General features: G+C 39.8%; 1 long non-coding RNA gene across 2 annotated transcripts in view, besides 2 other annotated features; it reads left to right on the plus strand.

The window, feature by feature from the left end:
- Positions 556 to 1,201: an enhancer, noted in NCBI's record as "OCT4-NANOG-H3K27ac-H3K4me1 hESC enhancer chr5:17400895-17401540 (GRCh37/hg19 assembly coordinates)". NCBI's record gives its function as "activates a minimal SCP1, AML or CMV promoter by ChIP-STARR-seq in naive H9 embryonic stem cells {active_cell/tissue: H9 hESC(naive)}" and the evidence as "EXISTENCE:reporter gene assay evidence [ECO:0000049][PMID:30033119]".
- Positions 1,202 to 1,847: an enhancer, noted in NCBI's record as "OCT4-NANOG-H3K27ac hESC enhancer chr5:17401541-17402186 (GRCh37/hg19 assembly coordinates)". NCBI's record gives its function as "activates a minimal SCP1, AML or CMV promoter by ChIP-STARR-seq in naive H9 embryonic stem cells {active_cell/tissue: H9 hESC(naive)}" and the evidence as "EXISTENCE:reporter gene assay evidence [ECO:0000049][PMID:30033119]".
- Positions 3,789 to 14,378, plus strand: part of LINC02217 (long intergenic non-protein coding RNA 2217) — a 37,676-nt gene continuing 27,086 nt past the window's right edge. The window contains exon 1 of one of the 2 annotated variants that reach the window (NR_134275.1): positions 3,789 to 3,858. This is a non-coding gene — a long non-coding RNA (long intergenic non-protein coding RNA 2217). Of the gene's footprint in view, positions 3,859 to 3,915; positions 4,122 to 14,378 lie in introns of those variants that run through there. The other variant, NR_134274.1, reaches the window with a different exon arrangement.

A 14,378-nucleotide genomic window follows, 5' to 3' on the forward strand; every position in this document is an offset into this window, starting at 1 on the left:
TACAGAAATATTATATTATATAATATTATATACAATATATAATATATAATATATAAATATTATATAATATATAAATATTATATAAAGAAATATTATATAAAGAAATATTATATAAAGAAATAGTGGCTCAGAATTATGATCTTCAGCTATCAAGAAAACTTTGAATCATGTTTGTGTATTTTACTAAGGAAGGAAAATAAGTTTATAATATATGACGTGTTTCATTTGAAAGTGAGAGTTTGAGTTAAACGGTTAAATTCAGCGATCTGGAAAAGTGTTACGTAGAGTCACGTATCCCTTGAAATATTGGGAAATTGATGTGGAAGTTATGCTGCGCCTCACCCTTGAGATGAAAAGATTGAAAATTAGATTTCACAGAACAAAAATCATTGCTGGGGGCAGTTTGTGAGACAACAATGTTGAAGAATAAAAGGAGTAAAAATAAAGATGAACACACACACACACAGATACACATACACACAATCACACGCTGACAGAGACATACGCCAACTCACATATACACTCACACTCATACACACAAACATACACTCTCATATTCACACATACACTCACTCACTCACACACGATCAATGCCCTCCGGATTCACTTTATTCTTTTCCCTCCCTTGCCTTTTTCTAGAAAGAGCTGTATTTGCTGTTTCAGGATTGCTAATGTGAAATTTACCCAGGTGGAAGGACCAGGAGGAGAGAAGTGTTTGCTGAATGAAAATTTGTAGCAGAATGTGGGCTATTCTCTCCCTTCTGTGTCGTCAAGTGACTTCTTTCTCCCCCACTCCCCATTTCAAGTTGGCCTTAGGCACACATTTCTAGGGCTTTCTGTGCTCATGTATTATTGACAGGTAATCCCTTTCTCCATTCCCACGGGGCGCCGAATGAGTCCTGCGGTGAGCTAGCACTTTAGCAAGGGGAAGTTGGGAGTAAGAGTCTGTTATTTCATCATCCCAGCAAGCAGAACAACTAACTGCCTCCCTACCTGTTTGTGTATTAACTAAATGGACACCAACAAAATGTCATTAGGACGGGAAGTCCGGGATCTTGCAGTTTCAAGCCATTGCATCTCTAGCCCCTTCAGAAGAGAGATTGCTGGGCCCCAGGAGATGGTTTTGAAGGAGGAGGGTCGGTTGAAAAAGATCAAGGCCACTGCAGTGGGGCTGGGTGGAGATCACCTCAGTGATCCCTGGAATGCATTATTTGTCTTTTCACTTTCAAAATACAGGGTTCTAAGGCACATGTCTGTGAGGAAAGAAAAATAGAGCGTTCTGAGCTACATGAGGTATGAGAAATTTATCAGGCCCAGAGAGACAGAAGTATGGAACTCCAATCATTCCCTCCCCACCCTGCACCCCTGCCTGGGGGTAATGTTTTAAAGGCATTTTGTTCCAGATTAACTGCCTAACACATTATCTTCTTGTTGCTGGAATTTGCAATACAAAGAACACCTTATGTTATTTTAACATAATTTATTGGTAAACAACTCAGGAACTGCTTTCTTCTTTTTCCTTTAAAAATCCACTTGAATACTCTCCAGGGCGGCAATCCTCAAGCTTGGCCCGAATCAACTCTCTACTTATGTTAATTTTGGCTCAGCTTCTTCCTTTTAGTTGACAGCTGAGATGCCCAGAACATTGAAGGGACAGGTAAACATTTCGACAGTGAACAGATAAGAATTAGAATGTCTTGAGTTTAGAGAGAGCTTTGTGTTTGCTCTCTGACATTTGTTTACTGTGTGTGAGGCTTTTACAAGTGAATCCCAGGGTGGGATAATAATAGCCGTGGGGCACCAGCTGCCGGCTAGGCTTTGGGTGCCGAAGAATTTGTGGACATTTTACAGGCTAATAGATTTTTTTTTTTTTAAACTGCAGGAGTTCTGTGGGAATTCCTCTGCAAATTTTAAAATAAGTTGTAGGAGTAGGAAAGTGAGACTTTCTCTTTCTCTCTCTCTCTATTTTTCCAAAGAGCGAAAATGAGCCAAATTTAGAGCTAGTTTTGAAAGCATTTTCTCACTTTGCCTTAGGAACGAAGAGTGAGGAAAATCAAGTGTCATCAGCACCAGCTCTTTGAATGCGGGTGAGAGGAAACACAAAGCCCCGGCTTATTTCAATTGAGCAAGACAATGCAAGAGATTTAGAGATTTTAGGTCGTAAAGGACCCGTGAGCTCCTTTGTTCCAAAGTTTGTCCTATTGCCATTGAGGCATCTGTTTTCCAGTAACTATAACCCCTGTTTCCTGAATCAGGGCTGCCCGCTCGGGTGGGTCACAGAGAGAAAGCATCGTGGGCCAAAATGTGGGTGTTGGGAGCCATATGGTGGGTTAAGAGGAAGATGAGGAGGAAGAGGTTAAATTGGGCTCAGGGATCAGAGCAGGCAGAGGGGTTTCCAGGAAAGTTAAGACGCAGGGCAGAAATACCATTCAAAGAGTCAACATTGTAACCCTGGAGGTGGGGACAGATTCTTCCAAGGTTATCTCAGGACTAATCTCTCATTCCACTTTCAGACTTACAACTAGGAAAAATGTGTTCTTTTCCCTTTGAGCTAACGTGGGCTATCAGCTTAGCATACCTGCCCTCGTTTCATCCTTTCTTGCAGGTCCACTCCAGGACCTGCCAGGATTGCTGTGAAAGACTCAAAATAGGACCCTCTGAGCCAGTTTTCCAATTCTCTTTCCCAGAATTCTGGGGTGTGCCTGGAGGGAGAGAGGGAAGCTGAATCTTCTCCATCCTGCCTTTCAGGTTTCCTGTCTCAGGATTCCTGGTAACATTTCCTTTGGGAAAAAGAAGGGAGTTCTGTCAATTAACAAAACATTTGAAAAATCACTCATCCACTCTCTTCTCATTTTACAAATGAGGAAACTGAGATCAAAATAGGTTAATAGACTGACCCAGGATTCTGCCATTAATGGCACAGATTGAGTTACAGCTCAATTTTTCAACCACCAGGGCACTGGTGATGATTTTAAAGAACTAAGATAAGGAGAAGAAGACTAAGTGTTAAATGCACTAGCTGCATTTCTATTTTAAACTACTGTAATATAGTAATTCTAAAAGGCCTCTTTTGCTGGTTTGCTTCTTTTATGAAAGCAGAATCAAACTCAGATTTCTTGCTTTAAATAATTCAGTTGATGACTGAAATTTAACCAAGTGGTGAGTTTCCTCACATTTTTCAGAACAGCCCTTAAGAAACAAAAATAATTATGTTTGTTGACTTAAAAAATTTATAGGAATACTTACTTTTTCCCACTTTCTCCCTTTTTCCCAACTTGAAAGCTTAACCTCATTTGATCATCTTCCATTCAACTTTCAAACACTGTCCATACTGTTGTGTAGTAACCATGCAGTGTTCTTCTTCAGTAGGGGATAAAATGCAACCACTATCTAGGGGTGAATAAAAATATCTAACGGTATTAGCAAACCAGTATAAAGTGTACAGTAGAAAAAATTTAAACTTGGAATTATGTCCTCTTTTCCAGTTTCTCTGGTGTTAATATTTTCTGGAAAACATCCTCAAGGCTTGTCCTAGCTACCATCTTCCTGACATTGTCCCAGGTGTTGCAGTTACTAATGTGAGCAAGACATCCTCCTGGCCTTAGCGAGTGTACCCAGGAGTTATATAAAGGATATTCTGGGAGCCGGAAGAAGGAGCGAATAAAGCAGACTGCACAGATGGAACATGGAAAGGCTTTTAACAGAAATGAATACTTTCAGACTAGGTTTGAAGGACTGAGTAGGAGTAAACTAAAAGAGAAAAAGCAGGACAAAAGAAGCACCACTTTGGAAGCTCAAAGCCGCACTGGAAACACAGTCTTTCAGGATGTCTGAAAGGGGCAAGTCTGTTTGTGTGGGGTAAGAAATGCGGGGAGACAAACGGACAGTGGACAGATTGCAGAGAGCTCTGTGTGCTGAGAGGAGGGTGCAGACCAGATTTTTAAATTGAGAATGCAACAGTGAAGGATTTCAAGCTTGGAGTGAGAGGGGAGACTACGAGCCTGCAGTGATAAGGCAAAGCTGAAGATTTCAGAGCCAAGGCCACACCCTACAGTTGCCATGGAATGGGGTGGCACAGTGGGCTTTGGAGGTAAAGTCTGCAGTTGAGAAGTTCAAGGGTAGTAAGTACTTAATGCCAGGTCAATCATCCCTTTTAAGACACAGATATCATCTGCAGCGTTTTCAGGAACAGCGATAGAGAAGAAAAGCGGGCAGCTACTAGATATTCAAATCTTCCACAAATGTCAGGGAGAGAGTCAGGCAGTTGGTAGAAGAGACCTGTAAAGCTGGGTACCATAAGCCTCAACACAGGTGTTTTTATTTCAAGGCTGGGGAGCTGTGCTTTGGAAAAGCAATGAGGAGGTAACAGGAAGTCTCTTCTCCTTCTAAATCCTGTGTTCATGGAGGAGGGTGGGTTTTCTCCTCTTGAGAGGGAGTTACATACAAGTTTAAGGGAAAAGAGTCTGAAGTTTCCACCTAAATGATTCTGAAAGAATCAGGTAAGTAGTTGCTTAGAAATATTGCTAAATGTTGCATAAAGAGATACAGCTCTTCTATGGAGTAACAGATCCCGGCTACTCAATAGCTTTTTGCATTTTTTCCTGGGCTATGGAGATATTTGCAGCTTTCCATTACGTGTTAATATCTCTCATCTTACCACTGAAAGTTTATTTCTATCAATTTGCCTTCAAGTGAACTGCAGTTTCATATTTGTGATTTTATTTTTACCAAAATGAAATGGCTTATTTTTATCAAAAAATACTATTGAAAAAAATACTATTTTACCAAGAATATTATTGTGTGCTAGATGCTGGAGGCATAAAAGGGAACAAGTTAGGAACTGTTGCTTTTCATGGACAGTTGGTGTGGAGTTTTAGTAAGACTTTTGAACACTTAAATTTATATCTTTCTTTTAAGAACCAATAAAAAAAGAGCAACTCTTTATAACAGCATTATATTACATCATCTTCAAAGATCAATGTGTGTACAACATTTAAATAAATCAATATCTAGGTGTGATCATTAATCCTTAATCATGATGAACCATTGCTTAATCTAACCTGTGTTTACTTTTATTTCTGTTATAATTTGTTGACATTTTAGAAGTATAGTTCTTGTTCTCCAAGAAATATGGCACTCAAAGTCCCTGAAATTACTTGCCAAGTCATTGGGCTTTTGTCTCATGTATTTCTTAGGTCTTTGAAACAACTAGAGATTTATCTTTACCCATCTTCTGGTTTTATCTTTTTGAGTCTTTTTTTTTCTTACAATGGTCTGTAGTCAATTTAGGCAAATCTCTGTGTGAGTATTATGTGTGAGTATTATATATCTCTATGCCTCTTGGCAGAGGTGAATAACTTTTCCTTTTTATAAGAGGAATATAATTTTCCTCATTCCCAGTAGACATTAAGCTTATTAGCTACTTAACATTTTGGTAATTTGCATTCATTTTCTCTATAGCAACAAAACATCTGAATTGGAAGGAGAAAAAATTAGTTTACACCCAAAATTACTTTTATAAAAGGTTATATATTTCCTCTAACAATTATTTAAAAAGCAAACACTGAAAAATAGTGTAATAAGTCGCAAAAATAAAACTAAAAATGGCTTTAATCACAGGTGTAGTCAAACCCCAGTGATCGTTACAAAACCTGTTAAGACTCATATGACTAAAATTGTGATTACTACATAAATAGTTTTATTATTTTTAAGCACATGTGTAAAGTTTAAGGAACATTTAAGAGTAATTGTTATTAGCAAATTATTTCTAAAGTCATCTTAAAATGCCTTATTTTTTTATTTATTTGAAAAGGGTAGAAATCTCTGTTCACGTTTACTTTGTTCCACTCTGCCAAAAGGGCATAAGTGTCCCAATTGTTTTATGAGCAAAACATATGTGTGACTGTGTGCATACAAGTATAGACATGAATTCACACACAATTCCATTAATAACAAGGGATATCCTTGATGGGTACTGTTAGCTGAATATCAAGCAGTTGAATCATTTCATTTTCTTCCTGGAAAAGTTATTTTTCAAGGATTGGTAAATGATTGCCCTCGCACCTCAGGGCAACCATGTTACCAATGAGATCTAAGGAGAATTCCACTTAGGGGCTTCTAGAAAAGGTGTTTCTTTCTGTGGAAAGGGTCAGGTGCAAAAAGACAGCTCCCTGGTTCAGCCCCTCGCCCTATTTTCCTGCCATGAATGCAATTCTGCCAGAGAATGATTGTGGCTCTGTGGCAGCTATCTTGGTCTAGCCCATAAGGCAGTAAGCCTAAGGGAAAAAAAAATTCATCGCATATCTTGGATGATAGAAGATAGAGAAATGATACAAAGGTTGAAGGGAGAATAAGAAGAAGCCTACATCTCTGATAACATCAGTTTGTTACTGCACCAAATCTGGAACCACTTACCTAGAGTTTCACAGTGTGTGAGATAATTAAAAGTTAACTGTGCTGACACACCTATTGGCAGCTGAATGCTAACTGATACATTACCACACTTTCTGACTCATTCCTGATGTCACGTTTGATTAGTAAGTATAGCAGATATCCAAACCCAGGTTTTTGGATTCAAAGTCCAGGGTTTTCCTGGCCTTGATGTCTCCCCATATTGTCACAATCTGGGAAATAAATCCACATACTGTGAAGTAATAACATACACTGCTTATTTTGAACAATTTCCCTACTCTGATTTAAAGCCCTGTTTCTCTCTTCACCCTCTGGACTTACTCTGCTCATGATTTGTCCAACAAATTCTGGCTGTGAATATCTCTTTATAGTCACTTGTGACTGAATGTCCATTTGCTGTATTAAGACTTTGGGCACGTTACCAGACATCACCTTATATTTCCTCATCTTTATAAGAGGATAATTTCTATTAACCTCTTCACATATTTCATACTCTTGTTGGGTGGGGAGGAGCTCATGGGGTGGGGCTTAATTCATTATCAACATTTGGCTTTTTAAATTATTTTTGTTTATTTATTTTTTGCGACAGAGTTTTGCTCTTGTTGCCCAGGTTGGAGTGCAATGGTGCAGTCTCAGCTCACTGCAACTTCTGCCTCCCAAGTTCATGCCATTCTCTTGCCTCAGCCTCCTGAATAGCTGAGATTACAGGAGTGCACCACCGCATCTGGGTAATTTTGTATTTTTAGTAGAGATGGGGTTTCACCATGTTGGCCAGGCTGGTCTCGAACTCCTGACCTCAGGTGATCCACCTGCCTTGGCCTCCCAAAGTGCCAGGATTATAGGCGTGAGCCACTGCAACTGGCCATTTGGCTTTTTTAAACTAGTGGATGTTCCATAGGTGTTCACATGTTTTTGTGTGTTGTAAACATTTAATAACGACTACTAATAAGAACACAGATGAGTTTGCAAAGCTTGTGAAATTGCCCGGCTGATGGAAATTTGGCTTGCAAGCATTCATGCGGGAGAGAAGGTAGAGATTGAAGGAGCTCACGATTGCCTGCCAAAGTTGTCTGCATCTCAGTTGGAGAGGATTCGAAGCTTACTTTGAACCTTTAACTAAGAAACTTTTTAATATAAAAGTAAAGTATATATGAATTTAGCATTTGAATTTCGGTTTTTTTTTAAATTTACCGTCTACTATATGACATATGTGTAGAAATTACATACTGAGTCAAGGCCCATAATGAACTATTACATTTCCACTTGGCATTATTTGTAAAGAAATGGGTGTGTTCAATATTTTTCTTCAGTCTCTTTCGAGATATGAAGTGTTAAAGATCTATATGTAGATGTTTGCCATGTGTGTGACTGAAATCTAATTATAGAGTTATTTGTGTACTCAAAGAAACTACAGTTTCTCCAGTCAGAGCTTATGACCAAACTGGGCACTACAATGGGCTCCTTAAGAATGCTGCATTAGGCCGGGTGCCGTGGCTCATGCCTGTAATCAAGCACTTTGGGAGGCCGAGGCAGGTGGATCATGAGGTCAGGAGATGGAGACCATCCTGGCTAACATGGTGAAACCCCGTCTCTACTAAAAAATACAAAAAATTAGCCAGGTTTGGTGGTGGGCGCCTGTAGTCCCAGCTACTTGGAAGGCTGAGGCAGGAGAATGGAGTGAACCTGGGAGGCAGAGCTTGCAGTGAGCCGAGATCACGCCATTGCACTCCAGCCTGGGCAACAGAGTGAGACCCCATCTCAAAAAAAAAAAAATAATAAAAATAAAAAAAAAGAATGCTGCATTAGGAAACTCGAGAAAGCCCTCTGAGTACACTGTAAAACTGAGTTATAAGGAAGCAAGAGTAGGGATTTGCAAAGATACTGATTAGGGGAAAAATGATCCTAGGCCAGTGGGACCTCAAGTCTCAGTCAATGAAATGTATCCATATATTTAAAGAAAAATATGTGTCCAACAGATGGGGGATTGAGAAGCCAGAAAAGCGTAAGAAATCACAGAAGAGCTTTTTGCTGTTAAACCAAGACTTGTCTGAAGAAGATGATGCTTGGAACCAGGGTAGACTTCCAAGGGGAGGCATATTATTATTGTTGTTATTATTATTAGCTTCTAGTATATATTGGTTGTTTTCTACATCAGATGCTACATATTTTATGTATCATGTAACTTATTCCTCATAAAAACTCATGAATGTAGGCACTACTATTTACTTTATAAATGAGGATATTAACGTGGAAGGAGATCAAGTTTCTTATCTAGGAGCCTAGAGCTAATAAGTGGCAGTGTTGGTATTTGAACTTAGCCTTGAGAGCCTGTACATATAACCACAATTATGAGAACTTACAAGGACAAAGGAGAATTTTCTCCTCGATTTTGCAAAGAGGTTCAGAATTTGTGACTAACCCAATAGTATGTGTCAGAATTAAGACAATAATTCAGGTCTTCTGAATCTTAGTTTGATGTATTTCTGGTATACCTGAATTCTTCTCCACAGGCAAGTCATTAAAGATAGGCCAGTAAAGAGTAGATTGCCTTCAGAGTTGGGGCAGCAATGGAGAACGGTATTCTCTGGAAGAAAGTCACTATGCATAGTTCACACTTAAGGAGTGGAGAGTTATTCTCCACCTCCTTGAGGGAAGATTATATATTGGAATTCTTCTGCACTGGAGATTTGTCTATTTTTCTCCATTTATTTATTTTTTCAGTCATTTATTTATATCAGTATGGACTCATGGGTATTCATGTTATGTTTTGAGTTATAATCCAAAAGATTTTATTTATCTTTGTGCCCGAATTGTGCCAGCATTAGCCATTGGGAGCATGTTCTGTTGGCCCCTTTGTCTTCTTGACATGCCCATAATTGTGGGTTTTTTTTTTTTTCTTAGCACTTATGAAAAGAACTTTTAGTTTCAGGGGTACATGAGCAGGTTGGCTCTATAGGTAAGTTGCATGTCTTGGGGGGTTGGTGTACATATTATTTCAGCCCCAGGTTATGAGCATGTACCCAGTAGGTAGTTTTTTGGTCCTCACCCTCCTCCCACCCTCCACCCTCAAGCAGGCCCTGGTGTCTGTTGTTCCCTTCTTTGTGTCCATGTGTACTCAATGTTTAGCTGTCACTTGTACGTGAGAGCATGCAGTGTTTGGTTTTCTGTTCCTGCGCTAGTTCGCTTAGGATAATGGCTTCCAGCCCCATCCATGTTGCTACAAAGGACATGATCTTGTTCTTCTTTCATGCCTGTGTCGTATTCCACAGTGTACATGTACCGCATTTTCTTTATCCAGTATACTATTGATGGGCATTTAGGTTGATTCCATGATTTTGCTATTGTGACTAGTACTTAGCACTTCTTTGTTTTCTGGCATTATAGGATGCCCTAGGTGTTCCTGCTTCAGTCTTAGAGCTAGCCATTTCTCCAAGGTGCCCTGGTTCCTTTGACTGAAGAATGGCATTAGAAACCAAGGTTGAGGTACTAGGTGTGAATCTTATTTTAAATAGTAATTAATACTCGGAAGTGAAGACAGTTGTTGCCCTTGGTGGGGTGGTGGTGACAGGAAGATGTCCCCAAGAGGCTTCAAGGGTATCTGATCTGTTTCTTGATCTCAGTCTTGGTTGCCTGGGCTTCTTCATTCAGTGAAATTCATCAAGGATACACTTAGGCTACGTGTACTTTCCTGCCTTCATGTTGTATTTCAATAAATACTTGTTTATTTAGAAAATAAAGAAAAACAAAACAAAACAAAAACTAACTGTTAACTCTTAACTGAGTATCAGATAAACATGCTCTGGATTTCAAATCCCTGGGTTTAAAGACTTTCCAGCTTTATAGCTTTTGGCTGCTTACCTAACTTTTCCATCCCTCCATTTGTAAAATAAGGATAGCAGTATTACCTGCCTCAGGTTTATAAAATAGGGATAGCAGTATTATGTGCCTCAGCATTAAATATCTCCACACACTCCCTCCTCTGGACATGTATATATGTGTGTACTTATACACATACAGTCACTTATCATTATTTATAGATTCCATATTTGCAATTTTGCCTACTTGCTAATATTTATTTCAAACCTCCAAATCAGTCAATTCTTATGGCATTTTTGTGATCATTTGTGGATACGCACAACGTAGCAAAACATTTGAGAACTGCCTGACGCCCATTTCCCAGTGAGCTCAAATAACTATATGTTCTGCCTTCTTGTTTCAGCTCTCATGCTGTAAACAAGGGCCCTTTTCTCTCTCCATATATAATGCCACGTTTTCACATTTCCGTGCTTTTTGTGGGTGATTTTGATGTCTAAAATGCACCCCCCCACTGCAATGTGCAATGCTCATATCTTGTCTAGTGTTCCTAAAGGCAAGAAGTCTATGATGGAGTCCTTATGGAGAAAATGTGCGTATCAGAGAAACGTCATTCAGACATGAGTTACAGTGCTGTTGAGCTTAATGTTAGTGAATCAACATTATACATTAAATAAGAAACACAACTAAAATAAAATCAATTATGAATTGATTGATTAATCAAAATGTTGTGACCAGATGCTCTTAGGAACCTAATTGTGTATTTCCCAAAGGAGCAGTAGTTCAATATTTGCTAATTTAGTGTTTGTTGCAACTTTACGGAACATAAAAACTACAAATAATGAGAATCAGTTGTATATATGTGTATATACATACATATCTACATATAAAAATATCTGTGTATGTCTGTCTACCAATATGAGAACAGTGCCTATTAGTATATTATTAATATAATAAGCCCTTAACAAATGTGTTTAGCTATTATTATCTAGGTATCTGAGTAGAATTGCTCTGCAATCCACAGTCACTCCTGAGAAAGATAATGATGTTTTTTGGCTCTCAGTAAAACGTCTTTGTGGTATGGAAGGAACAGCAATAAAGGAAGCACAGCCCTTACTCTTATGGAATTTACATTGCAAAATAACTCAGTACAGACTCAGTGTTTTTTGTACTATCTAGAGATCATAAGGAAAAAGTGGGAGTATGATGAAAGAAAGTTCAAAGTGAAGTCACTATATTAGCTTAAAATAGACAAGCATACAGATGAGCAATGTGTAAGAGGTTTTTGTAATGACTTGTCTATATCCTGAAACTTAGTAGCCTATGGATAGATGCCTTGAGATTTACATAAACAATGAGAAACCTGCCTGATGTAGGAAATGAACACACGTTCTAGCTTTCAAGTCAATTAGCGAGATATTCGTATTTCTTTTCTAGGTTAAGAAGCAAATCTGTTCCGATGTGATGCCAACTAAGTACATGATCTGATTGTTCCAGTTATCCTGTGCCAAAAAGAAGCAAAAAATGGGCTTTCCACGGATTATTGAACACGGTGTCAGTGTGCCTGAGAAACAAGCCTCTATTAAAAGCTTTCTAGGCAATTTGAATCAGGTTGCTGAGCTTTGAAAAACATTCTACAGCCAAGTGTAGGAGACCCAAGAACTTGGAGAACATACACGCTCTGAGCTATTTCAAAAAATACAGCACTTAAGCCAATTGAGCTGTAGTCAGGGCAACACAGGCATGAATAACATGAAGGTAGATTTTAGTAGAAGAGAAGAACAGGCAAGGGATGCAGTCATGTGCATTTGAAACACAGGACAAACATAAGCCCTTTTTATCTCAATAAAGTAAGCGCAGTTTGGGGGCATTCTGCGGGGTGAGATAATTTGTTGGAATTTAGACGAGGCCCAGAATCATCCATTGGATATTAAATCCACACATAAGCCTCTGCTAGAATTGTGCCAGAGTAAGGGCAATCCTGGAATTCCTCCAGGCAGTCCTACCACATCACCCAGATGTCTGGTTTCTAGGTGAATGAATTGAAGAAAGATCAAGAAATATATGGTGGGTAAGAGGTAGGAGAGAAAGCCTGTGTAAATTAAATCAGATCTCCTCATACATAAACCTACTCAATTACTTCTAAAGCCTCCTTTTATTTCTAACATACAATAATTGAGTTAAAGAAATATAATATTCTTGTTTCAGGAATAGGAATTATTTTCTCAGGCAAAGAATGAAAGGTAAAAAGTACTACAGTGTGCCTACGTCATGTGCTGCTAATGCTATTTTCTTCTCGAGGTGCTGAATTGTTTGTTTTCCTGGGAAAGCTCTAGGGCAGAGCTAGCAAAATATCAAGATAGCAGATATGCATGTAGAGCCATGAGGCGCCTTGCTCAGCTCTCCCTTCAAGAGAACTTGCTTCAAGGTGGGAGGCTGGGGAACACCGTCCACCTGCTCTGTCTTCAAATGCACTGGGGCATTCATGCAGAGGCTATGTTTTCCCGGGGCTGCTCCCAGCCTGTGACTGAGCAAGGCAGAAGTGCTAGCATCATGCCATTCCTGCAGAAGGTGGGTTTCCTCTAATGGGTAAACTTGGCTCCAGGGTTCGCCATCAGCATGGACATAACACACGCAGAGCTTGCCAGAGGCTGAGGCCCCTCCTACCACATCCTGCAATTTTGTCTCTTCTGTCACAGGTGTCAGAACTGCTCTCAGTCCAAGGATCGTCCCCCACATATTCCTCCTCCTCTCCCCTTTATCCTTCCCAGGTCCCCCACCCCAAACTCTCAAATCTACTTCCATCTTCAAATCTGCTTCTTGGAGATTATGAACAAAAGAGGATTTGCATTTGATAAGATCCCAAAGAGAGAGGAAGGGGATAATCCATATAATTCTGACACTGGTCACCAGGCGCTTTTTTGTTTTCTTTTGACTGAACACCTGATGGAGCTGTTAGAATTAAGTCACATACGAGGTGACACAGACTGGCTTCCCCTTTTGGGGCAGTGCCTGGGAGGGACAGATGACTCATCATATTGTGGACGGGGGAGTGGAAGATCCTGGCTCCATCTTGGAACATAGGCTAATTAGGGGTGAGAAGGAACAGACAGGTCCACACAAACAACCTCCCCCACCTCCAAGTTTCTCAACTGAGACTGAGGTGAGAAATCAGCTCAGCAGAGACAGACAAAGGTTGTGTGCTCAATTCATGCCAGTTCACTTTGCACTTTCCATTCAGGTTTCAGGGTTTACTTCTGGGACTCCTCATGTCTTTCAGGGTTGTCCTGAATGTTCATTTGTCCAGGATCCTTGGAGGGAAAAAATGGGGGACTGTGCCTGGTTTCGTATCTCTCAAATGGAATATGAGAGCTTCAGACCGTTCCCTTGTTTGCAGCTGAGAAAGTGTCAGTGCTAAAAGCAAAGGGAGGTGGGGCAGAGGGACCATGGATAGTACCCAAATGTGAGTCACACCTACACCATCAGCTTTAGAACCTGTGAACTAGAAATCTCAGAAAATAATCATAAAATTATACTGGCTTTTCTGCCCTGTAGAAGGACTGTAGAGACAGATTCTTGCAGAAATCTTGCCTTGCTCCCACCCAGCCCATGACTTTTCTCGCCACAAGGAAAGCACTGGTTAAGGAGGTGATTCAGAGGTAGGTTCCCCAGGTGCGTCCATCGATGAGTGACCTCTCCTCTGCAACAGGGAAATACTTTCATCATTCAGGAGGAATACTGAGTTAGGAGGCAGAAGCTCTGGGTCCTGCTTTTAACGCTTGCACAAACTTACTGTGTAGCTTTAAGCAAGGCATCCAGCCTCTCGCTCTCAGTGTCCTGTGCAGCCAAACTGATTGATCTATGAGGCAATGTGTGGCCCAGCTCTGCCGTTCACTATATTACCATGTATTCGCCTAATAAAAAACTGGCACACGGAATGTAACAATGCGATTGCATATTTGACATTGGGGTTGTCCTTATAAGTCTAGGTAGCCATCTTTGCAGCACTGGTTCTTTCAAAAGAAAACTATTTTCATAAATATTTCATTTGGAAATCCCCATTTATCTGGAAGACTTAGTAAAGCATCTTCTGTAGACACAGAAGCACATTATCGCCTGCTTACTTCAGAGTTAGGTTACCAGGCATGTTCATA

The sequence above is a fragment of the Homo sapiens genome, chromosome 5, assembly GCF_000001405.40.
Source record: "Homo sapiens chromosome 5, GRCh38.p14 Primary Assembly".
In the NCBI taxonomy this organism is placed as follows: Eukaryota; Metazoa; Chordata; class Mammalia; order Primates; family Hominidae; genus Homo; species Homo sapiens.